Genomic DNA, 27,346 nt, shown 5'->3' on the forward strand with positions numbered 1-27,346 from the left:
TGGGAAGGAATTCAAGGCTGCAGAAATTTGCACAAATAATTAAAAGCCGGATGTTAATAGCCAAGACAATGGAGTAATGTCTCCAGGGCATTTCAGAGACCTTCTTGGCAGCCCCTCCCATCACAGACCTGGAGGCCTAAGAGGGAAAATGGTTTTGTGGGCCAGGCCCAGGGCCCTGCTGCTTTCTGCAGCCTTGGTACATGGTGCCCTGCATCCTAGCTGCTCCAGCTCCAGCTATGGCTAAAAGGGGCCAACGTACAGCTTGGGCCATTGTTTCAGAGGGTGTAAACCCCAAGCCTTGGTAGCTTCCATGTGGTGTTGGGCCTGTGGGTATGCAGAAGGCAAGAATTGAGGTTTGGGAGCCTCTACCTAGATTTTAGAGGATGTATGAAAATGCCTGGATGTCCAGGCAAAAGTCTGCTGCAGGGGCAGAGCCCTCATGGAGAACCTCTACTAGGGGAGACAGAGGAGAAATGTGGGGTTGGAGCCCCCACAGAGTCCCCACTGGGGCACTGCCTAGCAGAGCAGTGAGAAGAAGGCCATAGTTCTCCAGATCCCAGAACGGTAGATCCACCAACAGCTTGCACTGTGTGCCTGGAAAAGCCGCAGGCACGCAATGTCAGTCCATGAAAGCAGCTGTAGGGGCTGTACCTTGCAGAGCCACAAGGGTGGAGCTGCCCAAGGCCTTGGGAGCCTACTCCTTGCATCAGTGTGCCCTGGATGTGAGACATGGAGTCAAAGGAGATTATTTTGGAGCTTTAAGATTTAATGACTGCCCTCCTGGGTTTCAGACTTGCATGGGGCCTGTAGTCCCTTTGTTTTGGCCAATTTCTCCCTTTTGGAATGGAAGCATTTACCTAATGCCTGTAGTTCCACTGTGTCTTAGAAGTCACTAACTTGTTTTTTATTTTACAGGCTCATAGGCGGAAGGGACTTGCTTTGTCTCAGATTAGACTTTGGACTTGGACTTTTGAGTTAATGCAGGAATGAGTTAAGACTTTGGAGGACTGTTGGGAAGGCATGATTGTGTTTTGAAATGTGAGGTGATGAGATATGGGAGGGGCCGGGGGTAGAATGATATAGTTTGGCTCTGTGTCCCCACCCAAATCTCATGTCAAACTGTAATTCCCAATGTCGGGGGAGGAACCTGGTAGGAGGTGACTGGATCATGGGGGCAGATTTACCCCTTGCTGTTCTTATGATAGTAAGTTCTCATGAGATCTGGTTGTTTAAAAGTGTACAGCACTTCCCTCTTCACTCTCTCTCTCCTGTTACCATGTGAAGATGTGCTTGCTTCTCCTTATGCCATGACTGTAAGCTTCCTGGGGCCTTCCCAGCTGTGACTCCCATACAACCTGTGGAACTGTGAGTCAACTAAACCTCTTTTCTTATAAATTACCTAGTTTCTGATTTTTTTTTTTTTTTTTTTTTGAGACAGAGTCTCACTCTGTCACCAGGCTGGAATGCAGTGGCACGATCTCGGCTCACTGCAACTTCTGCATCCCAGGTTCAGGCAATTCTCCTGCCTCAGCCTCCTGAGTAGCTGGGACTACAGGTGTGCACCACCAAGCCCAGCTAATTTTTATATTTGTAGTAGAGACAGGGTTTCACCATGTTGGCCAGGATGGTCTCGATCTCTTGACCTCATGATCCACCCGCCTCGGCCTCCCAAAGTGTTGGGATTACAGGTGTGAGCCACCGCACCTAGCTGGTAGTTCTTTATAGCAGTGTGAGAACTGACTAATACAACATCCTCCCTAGGCACCACAACTAGCCACGGGTCTCCTGGATGCTGAGCAGTGGCCATACTCACTGCACCATGATCCTGTGCTTATCTGTCTGCCTCTCCCATGAGACTGGAGCTCTCAGAAAGCCATGGTGGTGTCTGGTTCAGGCTCACTATTTTTATTACATCATGAAACAAAACTATGTCCAGAATAAACAAAAGCAAACTGAGAAAAAAGGCACTTAACATTCCTTGAAAAGATAGCTGAGGGTTGCTCTTTTGAAATTTTGTAAAATTAATTACCTTGGGCCTCTTAATACTATTTTATGGTTATTATAAAAAAGACAAAAAATAACAAAGGTGAGGTTTTGGAGAAAATGAAATTTTTATATACCATTGGTGAGAATGTACATTAGTATAGCCATTATGGAAAACAGTATCGTGGTTTCTCAAAAACCTAAAAATGGAACTACCACACAACCAACAATTCCATTACTGGGAATTTATCCAAAGAAAGGAAATCAGTATATCAAAGAGATGCCTACACCCTCATGTTTGTTATAGCACTATTCACAATAGCCAAGATACAGAATCAATCTAAGTGTCCCTCAACAAATGAATGCATAAAGCAAATGTGACATATATACACAATGGAATACTATTCAGCCATAAAAAGAAATGAAAGCCTATCATTCACAGCAACATGGATGAACTGGAGGACATTAAGTGAAATAAATGAGGTACATTAAGACCGAAATCATATATTCTCACTCATTTATGGGAACTAGTAAGAGTTGAGCTCATAGAAGTAGACAGTAGAACTGTGGTTACTAGAGGCTGGGAAGGGGTGGGGGGGGGGTCGGGGAGGAAAACAGGCTGGTTAATAGCTGCAAAATTGCAGCTAGGTAAGAGGAATAAGTTCTAATGCTCTATAGCAGGAGTCCCTAATCCCCAGACCATAGACTGGTATTGGTCTGTGGCCTGTTAGGAACTAGGCAGCACAGCAGGTGAGCAGTGGGCAAGTGAGTGAAGCTTCATCTTATTTACAGCCACCCCACATTGCTCACATTACTGCCTGAGCTGTGCCTCCTGTCAGATCAATGGCAGCAATAAATTCTCATAGGAGCGTCAACTCTATTATGAACTGTGCATGCGAGGGGATCTAGGTTGCGTGGTCCTTATGAGAGTCTAATGCCTGATGATTTGTCACTGTCTCCCAGCACCCTCAGACAGGGCCAACTAGTTGCAGGAAAACAAGCTCAGGGCTCCCACTGATTCTACATCATAGTGAGTTGTATAATTATTTCATTATATATTACAATGTAGTAACAATAGAGATAAAGTACACAATAAACGTAATGTGCTTGAATCATCCCCAAACCATCCTCCCACCAACTGGCCTGGTCTGTGGAAAAACTATCTTCCACAAAACCAGTTCCTGGTGCCAAAAAGGTTGGGGACTGCTGCTCTAAAGTACTGTAGGGTAAATACAGTTAACAACAGTTTATTGTGTATTTCCAAAACACTAGAAGAGAGAATTTTTCAATGTTCCCAACATAAAGAAATGATAAATGAGGTGATGGATGTACTAATTACCTTGATTTGATTATTACACATTCTACACATGTATCAAAATACCACTTTGTATCCCATAAATGTGTATAATTATTACATGTCAACTAAAACTAAAAGGAAAACATTATTTTAACTACAGGATAAAAATAATGATGAAGCTCAGTAATCATGATGGTCAGTGTTCAGAAGTCTCATTATCTGTCATTTAACTCATACAGAGTTCTCTTTTAGCCTAGGGATACTTACAATATCACACTCCTTTTTGCCATCTCGTTTAATTGGCTCATTCAGATCTTCTTGGCTTCGAAAACTAAACTTTTCAATGGCTTCTGTAACTCCACGTAGAGAACTATAGATTTCTTCAGAGTTCAGGTTCTCTGTATCATAGTCCAGCATGCTAAAGATAAAAAATATTTTATTTCTTAAATCGAGGCATATACATAGAACTGAGATATGGGCATAAGTTACTTCCCACAATTTAAAGAATAAGACATATTTATAGTTTTGTTTATTGGGTGATTTGGAATGAAAAGGAGACGTCTTTTGTTAGAGTACCACCACCGGACAATTACACATCTTCTTTGTTAAATCTGCCAAACACATTACATCAGCACTCAATAAAAACCAGTGGGAAACAACAGTAACCACGAGAATGCAGGAACTCAAAGAGTGACACTGGTGACTGAAGGCACGAGATAATGAAAGTGGAAAAATAACTTTCTTATTTTGAAGATGGAAAAAAGGAGTTTGGTTGTTACTGGTCTCAAATGTACAAACTTAAGAGGAATGGGCAGTTGGAAATAAAGCTAGTACTATAAGCAAATTTCAAAGGAGCAAAGTAAATGACCTCACAAGGCTAGGTTATACTCCCAGGTATCCAATCCAGAAAACAAATAAAACCCTATTAAAACAAAACAAAACAAAAAACCCTAGACTCAAAGTCAGATCCACCCTATGAACAGGCCCAGAAAGTAACTCTCACATCATCTCACCCATGAGCTTGCTATTAATATCAGACTCTTCTACATGCTTCTGTTTGGAGTTTTATAATCAAAGCAGATTTTATAAAAAGTCACATTCCTGGATGGACATCTAAAAATCCTCATAAAAGCAAGAAATATTTGTTGTTCACAGAAAAGTGTTATTGACTGCTGTCTTTATAGACATTGGGCACAGCAAAACATGAAATGAAGCAAAAAAGCCAAACAATCCTTTTTGGTGCACTGCAGTTTGTCAACAAGTGCCTTTTAGATGTCTGGAAAGTGCACTGAAACAGGGAGAATCCTGAGAACAAAAACCATCCTGAGAATATAAAAGAAAAGCATGGGATGGATATATCAGCATAAAGCAAGCAAAACACGAAGCAACAGTCAACCAAGGGCAAGTTAAAAAAAAATCTTAGTTTAAATGTCACTTGTTTCAAGAAAGTTTCAAGAAAAGATCAGATGAATTCGTCTAATTTAATTTTTAAAATAGTCCTGAGCTATACTGAGGATTGCTAGGGACACGCGAAGAATCCTTGGCTGTAAGCATGCAACACTGTTTAAGGACTAAAGAAAAGCAATCTTCCTGTTCTTCAAAAGAGTAGTAACTGAAGAAACGAAGTATCCTTCCTAAGGGCAACACAACCAATCCTGTACATTCCCAAAGTGAGTTTCCTGTAATGTAAAAATGATGAACATTTAGTAAATACTCTTCCTTAAGTATTCTGCCTTAAAAAAAAAAAAAAAAAAAGTTGGGGCAGATGAGCAAGGTAAGATTTGGAGAGCTCTCACTTGGAGTGGCCAGATCTCTACTGGCTTGATGTAGCAATGATCCAAGTGTTTTCTAGGGCTGGTGCTGGTAGGTTCTAGAGCCCAAGAGCTGACCACAATCTCAAAGATGGGAGCTATTTGTCTAGAATTGCAAATATGGCCCAGATAAAACCCACCTTTCCTGATGAATGAATATTTGGAGAGTTCACAAAAAAAAAAAAAAAATTCAACTCAAAGATTGACTTGAGCATCAAACAAAAAGAAATGTGAACCTTGAACAGGTTTGCTGTTGAAATTCCATGTCTAAACTGACAGGAGGTAGAATAAAAAACCTGAAGAGAATTTAAGATTTCAACCTCTTCTATGTTCACAAGGCTGTCTGTCAAAGAGGCAACACTCCTTAGATGTGAGAAAGGCATGACCAAGGGGCCAGAGGCTCCCCCGCTCCTTCTGAGGACACCACAATACTAGCTTTTGTATGGACAAGGCATTTATACATCTGGCCAGTACACTATTTTTTATATATAAAGACTGAGTATTATGACTCAAACAAAAAATATATATACAAGATGTAAAAAAATGCCTTAAAATACTTTTAATCACAACAACCAAAAATAACAGCATAGCCCATGCAAAAGAAAAAAAATCCAAAAAACTGAAAGAATGATGGGATGGACAAGAGGAAGTCTGGGGGAACGTTCAAGTTTTTTTAAGGGATGTCACAATATTATTTTCCATATGTCGCTTCAGATAATGTCAGCTTTCAGATAATTCATCTCATTATTCTTAACCTGAACTTTCTTAAAAATATTTCATTTCAGATCACATCACTTCACTATTACAATAGCCTCTTTTTAAAATAAGAAAATAAAGGATTCTGCCAGGTAATTTCCTCCTTCTCACTTTCAATTAATAAACCAACTCAAACTCCCAATTCAGGAGCACCATTTGCAGAACCAAGAACAATTGAAGGTGTCTTCTTTTAGACTCACTAGCCTGGGGTTTGAAGTATCTCCTTGGTATGAAGCTATAACTGTGAGCTGCAGGTGAGAGGCATAACTGCTTACCTCTAGGAGGAAACAGACCATGCTACTTTCTTTGCTATTTTTATGCTTTGGCTTGAATTATATTTTTCCAAATCAGTATCTGTTAAGTTCTCACTTAAAGGAAAAAGGAACTTCCCATGGAAGCCATCATCAGGGAGGGTAGATATTGTGTCCTCACAAGCAGTATATGAGGGAGCAGCAGGACGGCCTCAGAAGCTGACTGAGAAGAGACCTGGGGAAACCTCAATCTGCCATCTGCCCCACAGCCTGTCTTGTTTCAGCCCTGAGACAACCCCAGGACATAATCCTTGGGTTAGAGGTCAGGCCCTGATCACCTGTAAATACTCTGGTTAGACTCCAGAAGGGCTCTCTTAGGGTTTTTTAGATTAGGGAGAATTCCTTAATCAGCCAATAGTCACTGACCTAAGGTTAGGCCATGCCACCCAACATGGAAGCTGAAAGCAGCCCTGGGCTTGCCCGCTAAAGGATCCATGTCGTGGGGAGGGAGGAGAACATGGGGTCAGGTCTCCAAGAGAGAGAAACTGGAGAGAGAAGCCTGCCTTCTTCGTCATTTTGTAGGAAAAGGGTACAATGTATAGAATAAGGATAGTCATTCTTTGTTATGGAATCAATAGGATTTTGGCACAGAACAAATAGACAGACATACAGATTCCCTCTTAGTTTTATGTAACTGATAGGTTTTCTAAATGTAAAAGTCTCTAGTCAACTATCCCTGCCTCCAATGGGCAACAGAAGTTATAAGTATTCAGTAAGCATTCTCTCTTAATGAGTTAGGTCAATATGTATCGTGTATGTATGTGAAAGATGATCCTAGGAATGGGATGTGCTCTGGAGGGGCAATCTTGATGGCTGGCTGGTGGTGAAGCTGAGTGCCCATGAGGGAATACAGGTCAACATACTGGGAGATAGTCAACCAACTGATCTTACACTTGGAGGCACAGCTAACCTTAAAAAAAAGAAAAAGGAGTGACCTGCTTTGTTAACATTAAAGACAGCAGCCGTCTCCTCGCCTGCTTGCCCTAACCTTGTGTATCTAGAAACATTCATCGCAGGGTTCTCTGTACATTTTAGAAATGACTTTTAGAGGTATAAGAGCTTCAAAAGGAAGGTGTTGTTAAAATATTTCATTTACTGTTTTTGGCTTCACTATGTAGATTATTTGTATTCCACAAAAGTCAGAATGCAAATCTGCACAAAAGCTATCTATGAAGTATTTCAAAAGTAACAGGTCTTTTTTTTTTTTAACCCTTTTCCTATCACACCCTCTATTATAGAGGATAGAAACTCATCTCACAAAGAACAGTGACAGCTGGACTGCCCAGTGCTCTAACAGGTTTCTAGGGAAGAGATTCTCTGATCTTTGGACCTTATAAAAAGCATCCCCAAGAGACCCTGAAATAGACATCTGCAGTACTATGTGGACCCTTCTTTGTACCACAGATTCAGCATCTGAGGGAAGCCCACCCCTTCTTCCAGACTCATAACATTGTTGCATAACCAGTGTCCATGATGCCGCATTCAGCATCAACTGTGGGGGTGCGTGAAGGGACTGACGTTTCTCCTTCTTAGAGGCAGGGCATCCTTAGTGAGCTGTAACAGTTATCCTGCCTCTTGGGGACTCCTTTCTGGATCTGTGTGCTCAGACTACCCTCATATGACAGTATGTTAGGAAAGAAATCAGTTACAAATAGTCAATAGCAAGGCTGAGAGTGACAGGTATGGTTTGGGAAAGAGGTCTTTTTGGCTTCTCAGGGGAATGTCTTCTGCACTTTAGACGCATGCTAAGGAAACTGCTCCCACTATTGCCCACGCTGACCTCACAGCATTTCCTGAGGTCTTTCTGGGGGCTGAGCACTGCACTGTACAGAAAGGCCCACAATAATAGGTGGTGATGAATCTGATCAGCTTATAAAGGGTCATCTGTCCCTGTGACACAGCAGGAACCATACTTGTGAGATTTGGCAAAGATCACACACCTGCTCACACTTCTCACCAAGGCTCTACTCCTGCTATGTGACACCAAGGAAGGGACCACACTGGAGGCAGCTTAGAGGCTTTCCCAAAGACCTGAGACGACCTTGGAAATGCAATAATATTGTGACACCTCAGACAAGTTTGACAGGTAGCTTGTTACCTGGGAGAGTAAGAGCGCCTGAGAGCCTTGTGGGAGGGAGCGGTGGGGATGGAGTTAGGCTGAGAAAAGGGAGGTGGGTGCTTCGCTAACCCGTCGGCACTCCAACCCCATAACCGACTGCAGTGATCAGAAGAGGAAAATCAGAGAGAGAAATACAAAAAGCAAAGGGGAGGGGAGGAGGAAAGCACTACACACTAAGTGTCTTAGTCTCTTCTTTCCTTGACAAAGTTCTATTAAAGTTAATCAGAGCAAAATTAGCACTTCATCATACAGAGAAAAGAACAAATTTTGTTTTACAATTTGGTCCTCGATGAGACTGCTTTATTCTTTCCCCTCCCAAACGTGGAATGTGTTTACTACTTAAAATCACATGAGATTCCAAGAGTGTCTATGCGTGAGACTGTGTGTATATGTCAGTATGAGGGGCTGTGTGTATCTGCATGCACTGGGAAGGACATAACACAATACACAAGAAAATATGGATGCTCACTTTCAGTTAACTCATCAGTTATTTTAGAAAGAACCAAAGAAGAATCATGGGGCCTTAATTCAAATCGGACCAGAGGGACTCCAGCAGGAGGACTCAGAGACCGTGCTACTCTGACCAGAGCTCTCCAGCATGGAGCAGTGCATTCTTTGGTGCTGTGATCCAGTTGGATGGCGTTCAGAGACAGCACAAGCTGTTTCCTTCTGAAACAACCGTAGCACCACTAGAGGGCTAGCATGTTAAGTCTCAGCTGGGCAGCTCAGAGTGCTGGGTCATAAAAACCAAATCCCTCTGCTCATACCACCTAATATGAGAACTGAAATTCTCTGGGGAACACAAGTATTCACCTTCCCTTCATAAATGTCACTGGGTGCCTGGGCTTGCAGAGGCCCTGAAGGAGAGTTCTAACAACTGTTGCAATTCAAAAGGATGGAGGGAGAGACTGGGAAAGTGGGGAGCTGGCTGGCTGGTGATGTGGGGTAAGGCCATGGGTGGAGTCCATGGCATCAGTGCCAGGGTGCCTACACAGCAGCCCTGCCTGCCACTGGCATTCACTGGCATCGTCACAGCAGGAGCCTCTGCATGCTAGTCTCCCCTGAGCACAGGTATGGCTCTGCTTTACAAGGAAAATAAGGCATTGAGATGCAAAGTCACTAGCATACAGAGGCCTAAAGACACACTGGTCTCTGTGTGGGGCACACACTGGGTCAGATGCACACACTGGGTTGGAGGTGAGGGCATAGGAGGGATGCAGGTGACACCTCAGGCTGGGCCTCTGCTTGGGGAAGGAGTGGCAGAACACCCACCTCCGAGTGTGGGGTGGGGTCTCCCTGTTAAGCCCCACTTTGATTCTATCCATACTCTGGATCCTCTCACAAGATGACTAAAAATTACTTCCTATTGCTAGGGACATACATGCTATTTACACAGAGTCATCCTGCTCTATGACATGTTTGCCAAGAACATATGGCAGACCAGAGCAAGGACCACCATATACTTTTTTTTTTCTTAAAGGAAATGGACTTCAGATGACTTCTGAAGCCCCTTGCAACTCAGTTTTTCATTTACCGTAAAATCATATTGGGTAAAAGATAAATATGTACTTCACATATTTATAGCACATAGATCTCTTCTCCAAATACCAAGTGGTATTTGTGTATTAGCTGGTAATAGGAAGTTTATTCTTTCACACAGAAATGATGTCTAACGGAATGTTTTACAAAAGTTTAACCTATTATCTACAGCATCTCTACTACTACTGGGTTGATAAAAAAAAAATGACTTCCTCACTGGTGAGATATATATATATATATACACACACACACACACACACACACATATATATGTATATATACACACATATATGTATATATACACACACACATATATATGTATATATACACACATATATATGTATATATATATACACACATATATATGTATATATATATACACACACACACATATATATATATACACACACACACACACACACACACATTTTTTGTTTTTAAGACAGGGTCTCATTCTGTTGTCCAGGCTAGAGTGCAGTGGCATAATGATGGCTCACTGCAGCCTCCATGTCCTGCGCTCAAGCAATCTCCCCACCTCAGCCTTCCAAGTAGCTGAGAACACAGGTATGTGCCACCATGTCCAGCTAATTTTTTATTCTTTGTAGAGACAGGATCTCACTATGTTGCCCAGGCTAGTTTCAAACTCCTGGGCTGAAGCAATCCTCCCACGTTGGCCTCCCAAAGTGCTGGGATTACAGGCATCAGTCACGGTGTCCAGCCACTAGTGATATTTTTAAACAATTATCAGATTTATCATTTTAGAATAGTTTCTCACTATCATCATGATCCAAGTATAGAAATTTTGGACTAAAAAAAAAAAGTTTATTTTGACAGTTAAAATTAGACTTAAAACAGGCCAGGTGTGGCGGCTCATGCCTGTAATTCCAGCATGTTGGGAGGCAGAGGTGGGCGGATCACCTGACATCAGGAGTTCGAGACTCCGTTTCTACTAAAAATACAAAAATTAGCTGGGCGTGGTGGTGTACACCTGTAGTCCCAGCTACTCAGGAGGCTGAGGCATAAGAATCACTTGAATCCCAAAGGCGGAGGTTTCAGTGAGCAGAGATCATGCCACTGCACTCCAGCCTGGGTGACAGAGTGAGACTTAATCTCTAAATAAATTAATTAATTAATTAATTTGACTGAAAACAAATAATTGGTAATAGCTTTTCCCCTACAGAATAAAATAACACTGTCTGGTCAAGATAACTCAAAGAAATGGCAGGTCACAGAAAATCAACATTTTAAGAGCAATGCTCAGAAAAAATAGCTGAGATTATATACAACAGATCTGTCTATCTGTCTGTAGTCTCCTTAAATGAGGTAACCTAGTCAATTCTATTTAGTGCAATAATTCATTTCTTTTATCATTTTCCTGTTAGAAAATATGTAGCCTATTTAAATATTTCTAGTGACATGATAACATGAAGCAGTTTTTCCCACTGCTGGACAGTTTTAGTTGCGAGAAAAATCATTTCTTCTGTAAGCTCAAGTTGGCTAAGGCCATCTGGCTATTTACACACTGAATGACGGCAAGTTAAAAAAAAATATTTTTCCAAGAAAGAAACTACATAAATAATTCCCTAAATAAGAATTTGATAACAAGAAAATATTTAGACCACACATGAACTACTGAATATTGAAAATAAATCTCTTTGTTTCTTCCACTGATCTGTAACTATAAATACAAATTAAGATGAGGCCAATTAAGAAGGAATAATGACCTTGAAAAACACAATTTTTAATGACTTGAGGACCCATGGAGACTGACTTAGCCAGTTTTAGCTCTGATGAATGATACTAACAGCACTATCAAGTTTTTACTTAGATTAGTCCAAATAATAAAATGCTTAATTTGAGTTATCCCTTTTGACTTACTAAAGAATGTGCCACCCTAAGAATGCAATAACTAAAAGATGTATGAACTGTATATTATGGAAGAAAAGACTTCCCAATTAATGTTGCATAACTATCTCTTCTAGACAGAGGCGACAATTTACAGAAAATTCAAGTTTTCCATATAATTTTCTCCACTAGAAAAGATAATTTTATGATTTTACTGTCACCACTGTACCATCATATTCAAAAGTCAAGCATATTTTCATTAGTCTCTGGCCTCAATTATTTAATTGTAACAGCCTGTTGAAGCCATGACAACACAGACCAAATCTGGAGACATGATATCACATTGCAGTCTACCTGAATATAGTGCAGAGGGAAACTTGAGGGAGTAAACATAAGGGCAATCTGAACAGCAAGATAAGATAGCTATAGAAAATACTTTGTTTCACCAAGAGGAAAACACAAATTTCTTATGTTCCAAAGTATTTAAAGGATATGAGGAACTGGAAACCTTCAGTGATAAGGAAGAAGTGTGGGAGATTCTTGATCATTTAAAAAACTAAATGTAAAAGCAATTATGTTTTGATATCTTCCTAGTAACAAGGACCCATTAAAGGGAAAATAGCATACTTGTGGTATTTGCATTTCATTTTAAGATCCTGGTGTCAGCAGCCCTCAGGACACAAGCTTACTGGTTTGTATTGTTAGTGATCCCAAAGAGTTAATCCTGTAGACAAACAGAGCATGTGTGCCCCTTGCTGGTCCAGACACTGGCTCTCTCCTAAAAATTTTGGCCTATAGGGCAACTGCTTTGAGTGGGGCCATGGGTAACTCCCAGCCCATGTGAAGGGGTCACTAAAGCCACCATGCAGTCTTCTAAAGGCTCTTGTCAGATGGTGAAGTATTATCTAAAGATCCCAAGACAAAGCAGTTTCTCTTTTTAAATCATTGCCTCAGCTTCTATAGGGCCAATATTTGCACGGTCCCAACAAGAGTATGCAATGTTGATCCAATTTTAGTTCCCAGATTCTAAATCACAGTCCTTCAGAGCAGCATTCTGCTTCAAACATGATAGCAACTATGTTTAGAATGATTACTTGGTTGAAAAACTACCCTAGACTTGGTGTAACTGACTATAACAAGTTGGCTTGGATGACTAAATACCTTTAGGTTCTACCACTTGCAGAATGGGTAATGAGCTTCTACATGGATTCTATGTAAAACAGTACTAAATACAAACTTTTAGTTGTAGGTACTATTAGGTACTAGTGAGTGTTTAGAGCTACAAGAACGAGAGAACATTCAGCACACATGACTCATCTTACCACAGAAGTTAACCCCTTTGCATAAGATTATACAGTTACAATTTGAGTGAGGACTAGAACCCACGGTTCTTGATACTCAATATTCTTTTTGTTATTTAGCTTAGTCTAAAAATCTAGAAATAGGATGCACAGCAATTAAGGTGCTTTAGTTTCTTTACATCTGTGGAAAGTAAAGAAGTGACCTTACCTTGGAGACAGACCCCCATGGGAACAGTTGGTGGGTGAGGTCAGGGGGCTGGTCCTGCTGCTGGTGTGTCGGGAGGGCGTCCGGCCAATCGTATTGCTTGGAGAGCCCTGGGGTGAAGCAGAATAGGCATCGTTATTCAAGGGCTGTATATAGAATATATTCTATTCTTTCCTTGGTCTTTTAACCCACATGTAAATAAATGGGTAGAATCTGCCCAGGATGGTTTTTTTTTTCCCTTAGAATCATAAGGCCAATTTTAAGTGTATATAAACCAAAAATGAATAATCATCATACAAGCACTCCTGGAGTCAAATGATTGATGTTGGGTGTGCTAGAGTGACAGACAAAATTGAGCACTTGCATCTTTCCAGTGTTGAAAAATAAGACCAACTCAGTGAATGAATGACTAACTGGATAACCTAGTGAAAATGTAGTTGACTGAACAACCTGAGAAAAAACGGCATACTTAAATATCAGATTCATTCATTCACTGGGGCTTAAGATGGCCCCATCCTCAGGATGCTCGACATTTCCTGAAAGAGGACAAGGAAACGGGGTATTCTATTAGAGTAGGTTCTAGATAAGGGCTACGCAGAGGTCATGGACATCACATAGGCACCAATCGTGACCAAAGCACTCACCACACTGGTGTTACTGGAATTCTTGAGGTGGTTGTGCAGGAGTTTGGTGGCACCATCCTGGAATGTTTTTGGCAAGGCACCAAGTAACATGGTAAATTCAGGAGTATTCAATTCAAACAGAGAGATTAGCACAATCTGTGCTGCCTAGAAAAAGGAACCATGATTAATTTATGTAATGTACAATAGGTCATCAAAATGTTGATTAAAGTTGTTTAAAAAAATATTTTATAAGTAAAATCACTAATAAGAGGGCATTCTAGGCATCAAAAACAAAAAAGCATCTGAAGAAAATAATACCAATCACAAGCAGTCTGACTTCAATCGGGAAAATAAACTCTGGCTTCATTTTAATGCCCTCTGGCCTTGGAATTCCACAGCACACTAATAATAAATTCCTAGAACTTTTCTCTTGTTGTCTGGTACTAGGAATGAAGCTGGTTAAGTAGGTAAATGAAACAATTAAAAAATTTTAAAAAGTTTAAGATTGATCCCACTTTAATAATTCAGAACTGAACAGGGATCTCAGTACACCCTGGAAAGCACATATTTTTAAACAAGCTGCATTAGGTTATCTTGTGAAGCCATACTCCTCTTGACTAAGAAACATGAGAAAACGAGTATAAATACCTCAGAAAAACTTCTACTTTTACACCTATAAACCAAGGAGAGAGACTTTGAGAAGCAAATCAGATTTCGAAGGAGTCTACGTTAAAAACATGCTCTTCTGCCTTTTGGAAAATGTTCTACTTTTGCTTATTAATTGAGTCAACACACTGCAAGCCTGCTTGTAGTGATTGTGGTAGCGAGGTAGGCAAAGCAATGAGCTGGAACAAGAGTGGTCAATGAGGCTCGGGCTTCTAGTAAGTGATGTGCTTTCTATGGATTTAGTAGCAGGCAATCTGAGCTTAAAGCACAATGCCTGAGGAATTAATTACAATAGTTTTCATTTATAAAAGCTAAGCCAAAAAAAATTTAGTAAATACTAATTGGCATTTCTAATTAATTTCTAAGAGTCAAGAGAAAGAAAAAGACATAAAAAACTGTCTGTGAATATAATCACTTATTTTTCATTTTTAACCATAAAGACTTTACAAACATAAAGTCCTTCCAAAGACTGTAGTTTTTAAGATTGCAGTAATTATTCAGAATTTTTTTCCATGACATAGAATATTACACAAAAAATGTGCTTGCAGAGAAATTCTTTTGGAAATAAACATCACAAAATATTTCAATGCTTTTACAATGCTAAAATTAATTATAGGTCCAGTTAGGACAAAATTACTATTTTGTGCCTGGAGTAGGAAAAGAAATCCAAAAACCCAAAGGTATTTAACCAAAAATAAGAATTATGAATTTAAAAATATAATCAAAAGTTACTTTTTTAACATTTTGAAATCATTCATTAATCACAGTATTGGGCAAAAGTACATTACTTTTTTCCCCTTTAATTTCAAATACAGTCATTAATACCTTTTCCACCCAAATTAAATAAGTGGTCATAATATTTTTATGACATGGGCAAAAAGCATTATTATTACTTGTACTAAAATACACTTTTCTGCATTTCATTTTGGAAACATTTTAAACAAATTATCTGAAGGAATCTATTTCACCAATTTAATGTACTGTTTATTTGATATGCATATTTGCATAACAGAACAATTTCCAAAACTCATGCAAAGTAACCTGCATATTTTTAAAAAACATTGTATTAGGTGTTAGAAAAAAAAAAAACAATGCATGCAGAAAAATAATGCACTACAAGGAGGAAAGAAAGCAGCAGCCTGGAATTGTAGCAGGGAAAACACATCAATTTAATTAAAAGATATTGGCACTTAAATTTTGTTGGTTGAAAATGGCATTTGAAAGTTATAAAATATATGATTACATTCTTGAATAGTACGCTTTTTATGTGAAATGTGCCACTGCCTTTATTTAAGAGACAATATTTCTTCCCAGAATGTTACCTAATGTCCAAGCTAACTTGAGGCTTTTCATGATGCAAATTATTAACTTAGAAGCTTAGAGTGTTTCCAAAGTAAAATCTTTTAAAAATAAGATCCAAGTTCTAGAAACGGTAGAAAGTATCATTTAAATATACATTTTTTTATTTTTAAGAAAAGAGACAGGGGTCTCATTGCCCAGGCTGGAGTGCAGTAGCTGTTTACAGGTCCAATCATAGTGCACTGCAGCCTCGAACTCCTGTGCTCCAAGCAATCCTACTGCCTCAGTCTCTGGAGTAGCTGGGATTATAGGCATATGCCATAGTGCCGGGCCCAAGTATCCAATTTTTAAAAGATTTTATATCAGAGTTTTGCCACGAATTAGACTGTTACTGTTTTCAAATATTTTATCTCCAACCCTCTGAATCAGTGAGAGGTTAAAATATGGAATCCAAGCAAGGAAGAAAACTGGGTTATATTTATCATTACCACCAATATGATCTCATTAAACAAGTAATTCCAGATATGGAACTGGGCTGGAGAGATGCATTAAAAAAGCCTGGGGCATAGCTCATGTTTACTAGTGACTCAAAAAGTGGAGTACGCCACTGTTCTTGTCGGCATATGTGAACTGTTATCTTCGTAAGAGGCAAGACCGTTAGGCAGCCAGATGAAAAACTCAGAGTACTGCTGACTTTTTCTAATGGGCAACCCTAGGGCAATTTATTTTAAGGATCACATGGCAACTTAAAATGAAATGATTCTCACACACACCCTCATAGAGGAATTTGAGAGGTGGGGTTTGTAAAAGGTTCTTCACATCTCACTGCTACCATTTGAAGACAACTCCCAGGGACATCAACTGTCTTGAATGTTGCACATCTTATAGCAGAAAGGAATTCTCCCTAGCAGATCAGATCAAAACAAAGCTTTACCAAACACTTCAGTGTTTGTATTAATTTGGGAAAACAAAATTTGAGAGGAAAGGCAGAGTTTTCCAATTTATTAAACAACTCACTGCTCCCTTCAGACTCTCATTAAAAACTGCTTCATAAAGTCACCAAAGAGAAACTATTTCAAAACCCTCAGACATTTCTCATTTAGTATCTCTCCTTTCTTTTTTTCAAGAGATGGGGGTCTTGCTATGTTGCCCAGGCTGGAGTACAGTGGCTATTCACAGGCATAATCACCGTGCACTGCAGCCTTGAGCTCATGTAATCCTCCTGCCTCAGCCTCCCAAGTAGCTGGGACTACAGGCGTGTGCCACTGTGTCGGCCTAATATCTTTCGTTTTTACTATTCTATTAAAACATGGTAGTGGTTGACATAAACATGGCTATATCACTGAGAAGGTAGTTAATCATAAAACACACCACAACACAAACGTCGACACAGGCACACATACACACGCTCATATATTATTATATTAATTTTACATTTCTCAAAAGCTTCCCAGAGCCTTCACAAGGGCAACTGGTATTAATAATCTAAAATGCAAACAGTGAAGTATGCTGTTTGAAATTAGTACACAGTTTTCAGTCTACCTGTTTACAACTTTCTTCCAAGTTTCCTTCTCCAGGACCAGAGCAGGTTGAAGCTGACCTAGTGGGGAAATCCTCACCTACTCGACTACGCTGAAGTGAGGACTGGCAAACAGGAAAGTTGGGAGGATTGAATCAGAGAGAAGCAGAAAGTGCCTAAACATGGCAATCTGTTAGCTATAAAAGCATTTGGCTTCTTAGATAAAATCAGCAAGACACACATGATTGAAAGTAAGGAAGAATCAGAATAATAACATTAGCTGTCAGTTTTAACCCTCAGTAGTATCACTAGGTCTTTTACTTAATAATCTTGAAAGTAGTATTCTTGCTACAGGTGATGAAATGGAAGATGTCCAAATAAGACTTGAAAGAGTCCGGGCGTGGTGGCTCACACCTGTAATAATCCCAGCACTTTGGGAGGCCAAGGTGGGCAGATCAACTGAGGTCAGGAGTTTGAGACCAGCCTGGCCAACATGGTGAAACTCCCGTCTCCACTAAAAATACAAAAATTAGCTGGGTGTGGTGGCATGTGCCTGTAATCCCAGCTACCCAGGAGGCTGAGGCAGGAGAATCGCTGGAACCTGGGAGGTGGAGGTTGCAGTGAGCCGAGATCGTGCCACTGTACTCCAGCCTGGCCAACAGAGCGAGACTGTCTCAACAACAACAAAAAAGACTTGAAAGAGACTCGCAGTCACAGTTAAGCTGAGATCCAGCTATTTGATAGTAAAACCCATAGCTTTCAGACTAGAGGCATGCTGCCTTTATAATCATATTTTTTTAAAAGTCAACTAGATATCTCATCTTTTGAAGGCAATTTATGTATTAATACTTCTCCCTGCTCTAGCCAACAGCATCTTTATACTTCTAGGTTTCTTCGCCACGCCTTTTTGCCCACACTTCTCAAAACAAGGTTTGGGGGCTAAATCTGTTGCTTCATTTGACAAAGAGAGTCACATGTGATAAGCAAACATACAGGCATTTTAAATTCCAAAATGTAAACATATAATTAAAATTCTACTGCCATTACCACATTCCCTTTGATTGATCACCTGGCTTCCTAAATCTTAGAAAAAATTCTGGTACTCAGTTTATTCCATAAATAACAGCAGCAGCAAAACCAAAACAATCCTCAAACAATAATAGCAGAGCTGCAACTGCAAATAAAATGTCTAAGTTTTAATATACTTTATGAAATTTAATCTTCTCAGTAATGCCTGAGATAAGTGTTATTTATGTATAGAGATAGGACTCTTCCTGTGGCTGCAAGCAATCCTCCTGCCTCAGCCTCCCATGAGGCTGGAACTACAAGCATGCGCCACCATGCCCAGTTTGAGGCAAGTATTATTATTCCGATTTTACAGATAATAAACAAGAACTCAGGGATTAAATTACTTGCTCTGACCCCAATGAGTGGCAGAGGCAGATGTCAAATGGATGTCAAACTCCAGAACCCACCTTCTTTCTATCAGTAATATATACTATTATCTTACATCAACACAGTGCATTAAGAAAGGTCTAGTGTACGTCTGCATAGTTTCATCACACAACTAAACTAGTCAGGGCTCCCACACTGAGAAAATGGAAAAGTTTACTTTTGGAATAAAGCAGGCTAGTTACAGACTGGGTTGGGCTTTTTCACCTTGCCCAAACCAGTCTCAGTGTGGTAAGCACACCTCACTCACTGGTGATTCGTTCGTGTTTTGATTTTAAAAACACCTTAACAATTTAAGCACCCCTCCCTCCAAAATGTGAAACACCCCAATATACTGAGCTAAGGAAAACAAAATATTAAAAATGCTAAAATCAATTAATCTGGGTTATATCAGCTTGTTATAAGTTTAAAATGCTTCAAAAGTGCTTTCACAAACATGGTTGTATGGACTTAGAGAATGAATTATGTTGTCTGAAAAGTCCCCAGGTACTGTTTACATAAAATATTCTCCAGAGATGAGTCTAATATGAGAATTTACTGTATAAATTTCAGACTGAAGGGCTCTTCTGTATTTGGAATACCTACCCTAAAAAAATTAAAGCAGGACATTCACAGAAGAACTTGGTTTAAGATCACAAAACGCTTTTAAATCACCAAGATTTCCTCAATCCCTGATATAACCTTTAAAAAACTCTGGAAATGAAGGATGAGGCAGAACAAAGTTTATTTATACAGACATGTATTTTATGTTTAGTGTGTTAAATGATCTAGATAAGAATGGTACTAGTTTTCATACAGTTTAAAATAATTTTAAATCTTATCAATTTTAGATCTTAGAGTAGTGATAAATACTACATCACAATTCTAAGTATTTTAATTTATTTAGGCACTACCTTCATTTTGACAGTGCTTCAAGAACGTCTCATATTCTTGGGTAAGGCAGCTGCATCACTTACAAAAGCAACTATATTTATAAATGTTCAACGGATGCTACATCAAAACAGGGAATTTAAATAAAAGTGAATCTACCTCCAAAAAGGATTAATCTGCAGTGCCCTAATGTAGAGTTTGAGGACATCTATTTTAATACTGTCCTATGATACATCTATTTGAATCAAAAGTAATGCTTTACTAGTTAGTGCTGAATGTTACTGAAAGCCAAATAGTTTAGAGCCACGGATATCTTGGATGATTAAAAAAAAAAAAAAAATCCAGAGGGTGCCAGAATACAGACATGCATCTGCTAAGTAAGTTGAACCACATCATAATTTGCATAGATAGGTAAAAAAGCGCCCTTCTAAAATAAGAGCCAAGGAATTATCGAATAACTATGGAAGCCTTCTGCCAACCCCCTAAAAGAGACACTAAAGCCCTGGTAGTCAAGACACTAAGACGGCCCCTAAGATTCCCCATAACGTATTACACCCTATATAACCTCTCCCACCCTTAGAGTGAGCGGGACTTGTGAATATAATGGATATCACTCCCATGATTGTGTTACACGGCAGAAGTGATTTTCAAAAATGTAATTGAGGCCCTTAATCAGTTGACTTTGAGTTAATCCAAAGGGAGATTATCCTGGATGGGCCTGACCTCATCAGGCAAGCCCTTAAAAGGCATCAGAGAGATTCAAAATGAGAGAGATTCTATGGCTGGTTTTGTTTTAATTTCTCCATTTCTGAAGAAGAGTTTTGCCAAACAGTGAATTCTTGGCTGAGCGCTTTCTTTCTTTCAGTACCTTCAATGTCATCCACTGCCTTCTGTCCTTTGTGGTTTCTGAAGAGAAATGAGCTGTTAATCTTATTGAGGAACTTGTGCATGGGATGAGTTTCTCCCCTCTTGCTGCTTTCAGGATTCTCTCTTTGGCTTTCAGCAATTAGATGTTATGTGTCTAGGTGTGAATCCTTTTATTAAAAAATCTTGGCTGGGCGCAGTGGCTCACGCCTGTAATCCCAGCACTTTGGGAGGCCAAGGTGGGCGGATCACGAGGTCAGGAGTTCGAGACCAGCCTGACCAACATGGTGAAACCCCTTCTCTACTAAAAATACAAAAATTAGCCGGGCATGGTGGTATGTGCCTATAATCCCAGCTACTCGGGAGGCTGAGGCAGGAGAATGGCGTGAACCCGGGAGGCGGAGGTTGCAGTGAGCCGAGATCGCGCCACTGCACTCCAGCCTGGGTGACAGAGCGAGACTCCGTCTCAAACAAACAAACCAAAAAAACAAATTTTTTTAGTTTGTTGGGCTACTCAGATGTGTAATTTTTTTTGTCAAATTTGGGGAGTTTCTTAGATATTATTTCTTCATGTATTCTCCCGATAGCTTTGAACAAGCAAACTTCCTGGCAGCCTCTACTAGCTGAGAATGGCTGCCCGTTGACAATGAGGAAGGAAGGAGGCAACTGAGTTCTACACCTGCAAGAGACTGAAATCTGCCAAGGACCAATGAGCTGGAAGAAGACCTCAGCCTCAGATGAGACTGCAGATCCAGATGACATCTTGTTTCAGCCTTTGAGACACCAAGCAGAGGACCCAGAGAACACATGTCAGATTCCTGACTTATTACTGTGAGATAATAAATCTGTATTGTTTCAAGCTAAGTATGTGGTAATTTGTTATACAATAGAAAACAAATAACGAAGTCAAAAGAAGGGAATTTTCAAAACTAGTCTTAAAAATGATGGCTTCAAAATATCATTTGAAATGAAATAATTTCCATATGGGTATTTATCATTCATTAATTCATTCAAAACATATCAATGCCCACTATGTTACTCCAGGTATATGCCAGGCACTGAGCATGCAGGGTGAGCAAAACAGTCTCCTTACTGCTCATCTTCCCAAACCCTCTGCTTCAGACATATCAGTCTATTTCACTGTTCCCAGACAAATCTCATTTCTTAAACATGACTACTGTCCTTTCCCTAAACTCATCACTTATGCAAACTGCATCCATATTCCACATCTGAGGATGAATCTTATCTTCTCTAGGAAGCTTTCTATGATCAATACAGAGTGCATTGAGCTGACAATACACAGAAAACCAGGCAGGTATTCCATCAGTTTGAAGGAAGTTGCCCAGGGTAACAGGGCCCTAACCACTAAAGTGGGTTTAGAGGAAGCACAAACACTCTAGGTCCAAGGAAGGGAGGTAGGGAAGATGCCAGGGAACAGAGAGGCCAAGCCTAGTCCTGAAGATACTGAGGAGCAACACTCCGTAGCAAGAGAATTTGCAAGAACCAGATCAAGACTATATCAGTAGTCTGCATGTCTTGAGATTCATTCCAAGGCCATGGCCCAAAATACTAGGCCTTGTCTGTGTATTAAAAATCAGCCAAGAGTGAAAGGAACCCCAATCGAAAAAACAACAGAGTGTCTACGCTCTGCCCTATATCAATTAAATCACATTACTTGGGAATAGAGCTCAGAAATCTATGTTGATTTTAATTGCAGCCAGGACTGTGAACTATTAATCTAAATCTTCTGAAATTCCTCTGAAGATCAGGATTATGGTCCTAGAACCTGGGTATAAGTTAGGTGTGAAGGTGAGGAGTTAAGTACACCTCACAATGGGAAAGGAGAATTAGTGGGGCAGGCATGGAAAGTAGCACGCCAGTGGAGATAAAGCTTTGCAAAGTAACACTATATAATCCAAAATAACTGAAAACAAGTGTTGAAGCTCATTCAAACAGCAAATGAACAAAGTGATTTCTGGCAATATATCCAACGTTCTATTTATATTTGGCTTGAGCTAGTATTAAAATAAGTTGAGGTTTTTGGAGCATCAGGCTAATCATTCGAAATTATCTGTAATGTTCTGATTAGAATAATAAGGACAGTAAGTCCTAGTTCAAATATTCTAATGTGCATGTCCACAGGGAGTGGGTATTATGATCAAAGCTAGTTTGTCCCAAACAGGTCCTAATCGAGGTAATATGCAAATATAGAATAAGTTTCAGCCCGTACCAGGCAATACTTAAGTAACATTCCATTACAAAAGCACATACTCACATATCACACATATACTTATGTGCTACGTATTGAAAGACGTTTGCTCTTTTTTAAGCATCTATTACGTCTTATCAAACTTTTCAACCACATTTTACGATCAGGGACCCTGTAGCCAGCTAGCCCTAGATCTGCAATTTTATCTTCAAAGTACGTATTACAAACTGATATAAGGAAAACAAACATCTGTGTAAAAGACACTAATTTACTAGTGATTTCATATTAGAAAATATATAAAGTAGATGCCTGGGGAAACCATAAGCCCATCATGCAAGATTTCAGATTTTCATTTTTATATTCAAAACTGGGCAGAGCTGGAGAGAGAAAAGGGCAACAGCAGAGCCTTAGTGATATAGGTTTGTGGGTGGGTGGCACGGTTTTCAAGTTTCTAAATACATTTCTCTAACACAAGCCCAGGAACAATCTGTAATTACACGTCGGTTCTCTTGGACATACCTTTCTCACGTCTGAACTCTTTGGTTCTGTTGTCCAGGTTATGATTCTAGAAACAGCAAGCCTTGTCTCACTAGAGTTTACAAAATCTGTTGGATCCATCTGTCTGGCCAGAGACTCAATGTATTTCAGGATTGCAACTTTGACCTGAAAGAACCAATAATTATAAACATTAAGTACACTTGATGAATCTTTGAACACAATTCTTATCAGGTGGCCAGAGAAAAGTAAACCCTGGTGAGGGGGATCTCCTTCCTTTCTCCTGTATCGATAGTTTCCACGTGGAGCGACATCCAACAGAGGAAAAAGCATGAAATGGCTGATGGGTAAGTTTGGGGACAGGAAGAGGCACATGGCTCAGTTTTCTTCATTTTTAGCTGCCTGTAGAGAAGCTTGCTCTGCTCCTCATCTATGCTGCAAGACACTTCCAGGGCAGGAGCCCTTGAGAGGGGCCCGTGGGATTTCCAGCTCTGCCACTGACTGCAGGGCATGTTCAGCTCTAGTTTTGTCACACGTTCTAGGCCATGTTCTGTAAGGCAGCATTTTCAGTAATCAAGCTGATGCTCTGTCCTAACTTCACCATCAACTTCTCAACTAGCTTTGACTTCAGGAGGAAAAGGTAATTATTTGTTAGACTCATCCTAAAACCTCCAAAAAGTTAATGATCAAAGAACAGATGATGAACGTGACCTAATTCAAATTAACATACATCCTCCCTCAAACTTGGTCTTGTTATTACAGGTATGATTTTCCACAACATGTAACGATTAACTTTCACAGCTTAGAATGTTAATATTAAACATTCCAATAAGATACCTATCTCTACACACAAGAATGTCTTAATTTTCTAGTTTAAATATTAATTGTGAAAAAGACTAGTACTGTCCAAATGCTGGTGAGGATGCAGCAAAACTAGAGCTCTCATAAACTACTGGTAGGAATACAATATGGTATAACCATTTTAGTGGTTTCTAAAAAAGCTAAACATGTACTTACCCAATGAACCAGCAAATACACTACTAGGTACTGAACCAAGAGAAACAGGAACATGTCCACAAAGAATCAAACAAGAATGCTCACAGCAGATTTATTCACAATAGCTAAACATGGGTCATACATAAACAAAAGTAAATTTAAACAAATGTGAGTTCCAGGGTTGAATTGTAATGACAAATAATTACTGACCTTGAGGTTTGGAGTTTGAGTTTGATCCACAATAAATCTCATCAAAATGTTAAATTGTTGATCAAATGGAAAGGAGTCCCTAGGTTGGTGGGAAAAAAGTGCTTATTTTTAAAGAAATTTATTACAAAACAATGTAAAACTATTTAACAAAAGCATACCATTGTAAGTTAATGTATGTAAAACCCTGTTCACATTTTTAATAAATAGTGCTTTTCGTTTTATGTAGAGTAATACATGTTATACAGAAAATATGGAAAAAGGAAGATCTTTTTGCAAGTCCCCAAACACAAATTGAACTTACTTTGAGTGGCTATTTAAAAAATTAAGACTAAGCAATAAACTAAGGAGAAATTTCTACCTGCCTTTCTAGGGATTCGCTCATTTTCCCTCCAGCTACCTTTCTGGATATTGCTTAAACATAAAAATCACTTCTGATACCCAAATCTCATTTTTACATCCTGACCGGGCTGCTTACAGCTGACCCTGCTTAAACTAACCGTATCATCCTCCTTGGTCCTGGTCACTGCTTAGGGTCCCTGCACACCACAGAAGAATGCCTGTGAGATGGCGACAAAACATTTCCCATCCAGCTACAAATCACACACAGAAGCCTGGGGTCCCAGAAGCCCCTTCTCTCTCTTGGCCAGAGAGTCAGTGCTCTTTCTGTTAAAATGCTGTAATTACTAGTATTAGTTTAAAATTGCACAATGGGGCCCACGTGGAAAATGGTGATGTAACTTCCATATTAACAGGAAAGATAAATGCAAGGCAAATATCTACACTGCTTTCTTTGGACTCTCTTAGAGATTTTTCCCAATCTACGTAAATGTAGTAAAATAAAGAAGTAGGTTTGACTCTGTAAAATGAAGCAAATAGAACTGGTTTGAAAAGTCAATAAAATCATACAATAAAAATAAAAAGCACATGGCACATATCAGGTACCAGTGTTATCCTACATATAATTACTAATAAAAAGTAAACTTGATCCAATAATACCCTGGAATCTTTGAAGATCTCTTCGGGAAGGAAAGCATACTTTAATATACCTAATTTAAGTGACTATGTCAACAAACCACCCACAAAATGTCTCTCCCTTCTTCTGGCAGCATGGGGTGGATGGAGAATACATTTCAGTAATGGGTGTGTATAATCGGGAAATACGCCATTGTTAGGCACAGGTAAAGGAAAGGAAATTGAGGCAGATTAGCACTCAAGTCTATAAACTGAGAAGCAATTCTCAGCCATCACTAAAACCTCCTATTAGCAGTCGCTGACTATTCTAGATCAGCTTAAACAGCTGTGCATCTCAACTGCTGAGAAAAAGAAGGGAATATTAAAAACGCTTTAGGCACTCAGACCAAATCTACTGAGATTAGGACTCTTAAAGGGGCATCCAGGAAAACTAACAGGAGGTCACAATTGTATTCCTTAATCACCAAAGTTTAGGAACACAATCTTAATACTCCTACCATTCCTAAATATATGAAATAGATCTGGTCATTGGTAAATTCACCTAAATTAAGCGACCTACAGGCCAAGTCTGGCTCACATGTGTTTTATTTGGCCTTCACAGTATCTTAAAAAATTCTCAAATATGTTGCCCAAATCCACATTTCTGACCTTTCTTGAAAAGTCTGGTACTACTGAGCCCATGTCCCAATGTGGCCACAACCGGCCCCAGTCTATCAACAGCCATCCTATCTACTCCACTCAATTATACCAGCTTATCAGCCTAGCCCCTCAGTCAATCTTGGCTAAACCTTTATAATCCACTGGTATAATGGTGTACTGTAATGCTCCCTAACTCCACTAAGTTTAGCCATGCAAAGGAATGACGAAGTTTGAAAGCTTTATTGCAAATTTAGTACATTACTTTGATTCTTATTTATTTATTTATTTAATATTCTTTTTTTATGGCCTCACCGACAGATGCAAGTACATTACTTTGAGTTCATTAAAAACCAGAAGGGTAATCGCTCTGGATAACAGAATTCTAGAGCAATGCAATTACACAGACTGACAGGGTCAAGGGCCAAAAGAAAACAGCTGGCATCATGGTGTAGAGGAACAGACGCATACTTTGAAGTCAGAGTCATGTAAAAGCTGCACGCATAGGGAGATGCCGGCAGGGCAGGATGTGCTACTGTGCTAGTCAAGGGAGCCAGAGAGGGAAGAGAAGGTTCCAGTGCTATCCATACCACCCCCCTGCCCCCACAGGAGGTGAGGACACACACCCACAAGATAGCCTGCAACAATAAAAACAGACAACAGTGCAATCTTCAGAAATCCTGGATTTGCGTTCCCAAACAGCCACTAACACAAAGTCAAGGCAAACTGTCTGTTTCTCACTGATAAAATGAGCATCATCTTTAAGGTCCTTCCATCTTGAAATTCTATGATAACTAGAATTATTCCAGTTTGTAGTAACTTATAAAAGTCATTGCCCTGATAATTTTCTGAGTGACTTGGAAGTTATTCCTTTGTTCTTTAAAAAAGTTCACCAATTTGACATTCCCCCCATCCATCTTCCACCAAATCACAACCAAGACATTATTGCAAAGTGTCTTCTGAGATGTTTCAACTTTCATACTTGCATATTGAGGACCCACAACTGCATAGACAATAGAGAAGCGGTTTCTGAACAGCAGCAGCATGTACTTTTTCTAACTTTTCTGGGCTTCAGCAGCTTTTCTTTTCTCATAACAGCCAGAAGGGTCACAACTACTGCAAATGTGCTATTAATCTCTAGCCAGTGTACTATTAATTTAGAGAATTTTCCTGGACCAATGGAAACTCTACATCATACACCGATAGAAAAATTTCTAGTAAGACTTGTAAGTTGAAGTAATAAAAATACTAAGGTCTTCAGAGAAATGTAAACAAATATTCTAAATGTTCCCTTTAAATGTTTTTTAATGAGAAGAGAATCAATTTCCAAAGTTTTACATTTGTTTATTATATATGTCTTAAATACTC

The 27,346-nt window shown here is 39.5% G+C and overlaps 1 protein-coding gene across 36 annotated transcripts in view, besides 1 other annotated feature; it reads right to left on the minus strand.

Annotated features, from left to right (window-relative positions):
- The window catches only part of CLASP1 (cytoplasmic linker associated protein 1), a 311,687-nt gene that overhangs the window by 36,176 nt on the left and 248,165 nt on the right, over positions 1-27,346 (minus strand). For 27 of the 36 annotated variants that reach the window (XM_047443792.1, XM_006712383.2, XM_047443791.1 and 24 more), the window contains 5 exons: positions 24,371-24,449; positions 23,189-23,332; positions 13,812-13,955; positions 13,171-13,277; positions 3,548-3,698 (listed from right to left, as the gene is read on the minus strand). In XM_047443792.1, the coding sequence (XP_047299748.1) occupies positions 3,548-3,698; positions 13,171-13,277; positions 13,812-13,955; positions 23,189-23,332; positions 24,371-24,449 (625 nt within the window). Of the gene's footprint in view, positions 1-3,547; positions 8,374-13,170; positions 13,278-13,811; positions 13,956-17,297; positions 17,400-23,188; positions 23,333-24,370; positions 24,450-27,346 lie in introns of those variants that run through there. The other 9 variants (XM_047443782.1, XM_047443781.1, XM_047443778.1 and 6 more) reach the window with 3 other exon arrangements.
- Positions 8,851-9,351: an enhancer, noted in NCBI's record as "H3K27ac hESC enhancer chr2:122140378-122140878 (GRCh37/hg19 assembly coordinates)". NCBI's record gives its function as "activates a minimal SCP1, AML or CMV promoter by ChIP-STARR-seq in naive H9 embryonic stem cells {active_cell/tissue: H9 hESC(naive)}" and the evidence as "EXISTENCE:reporter gene assay evidence [ECO:0000049][PMID:30033119]".

Source organism: Homo sapiens, chromosome 2 (assembly GCF_000001405.40).
Source record: "Homo sapiens chromosome 2, GRCh38.p14 Primary Assembly".
NCBI classification, from domain to species: Eukaryota; Metazoa; Chordata; class Mammalia; order Primates; family Hominidae; genus Homo; species Homo sapiens.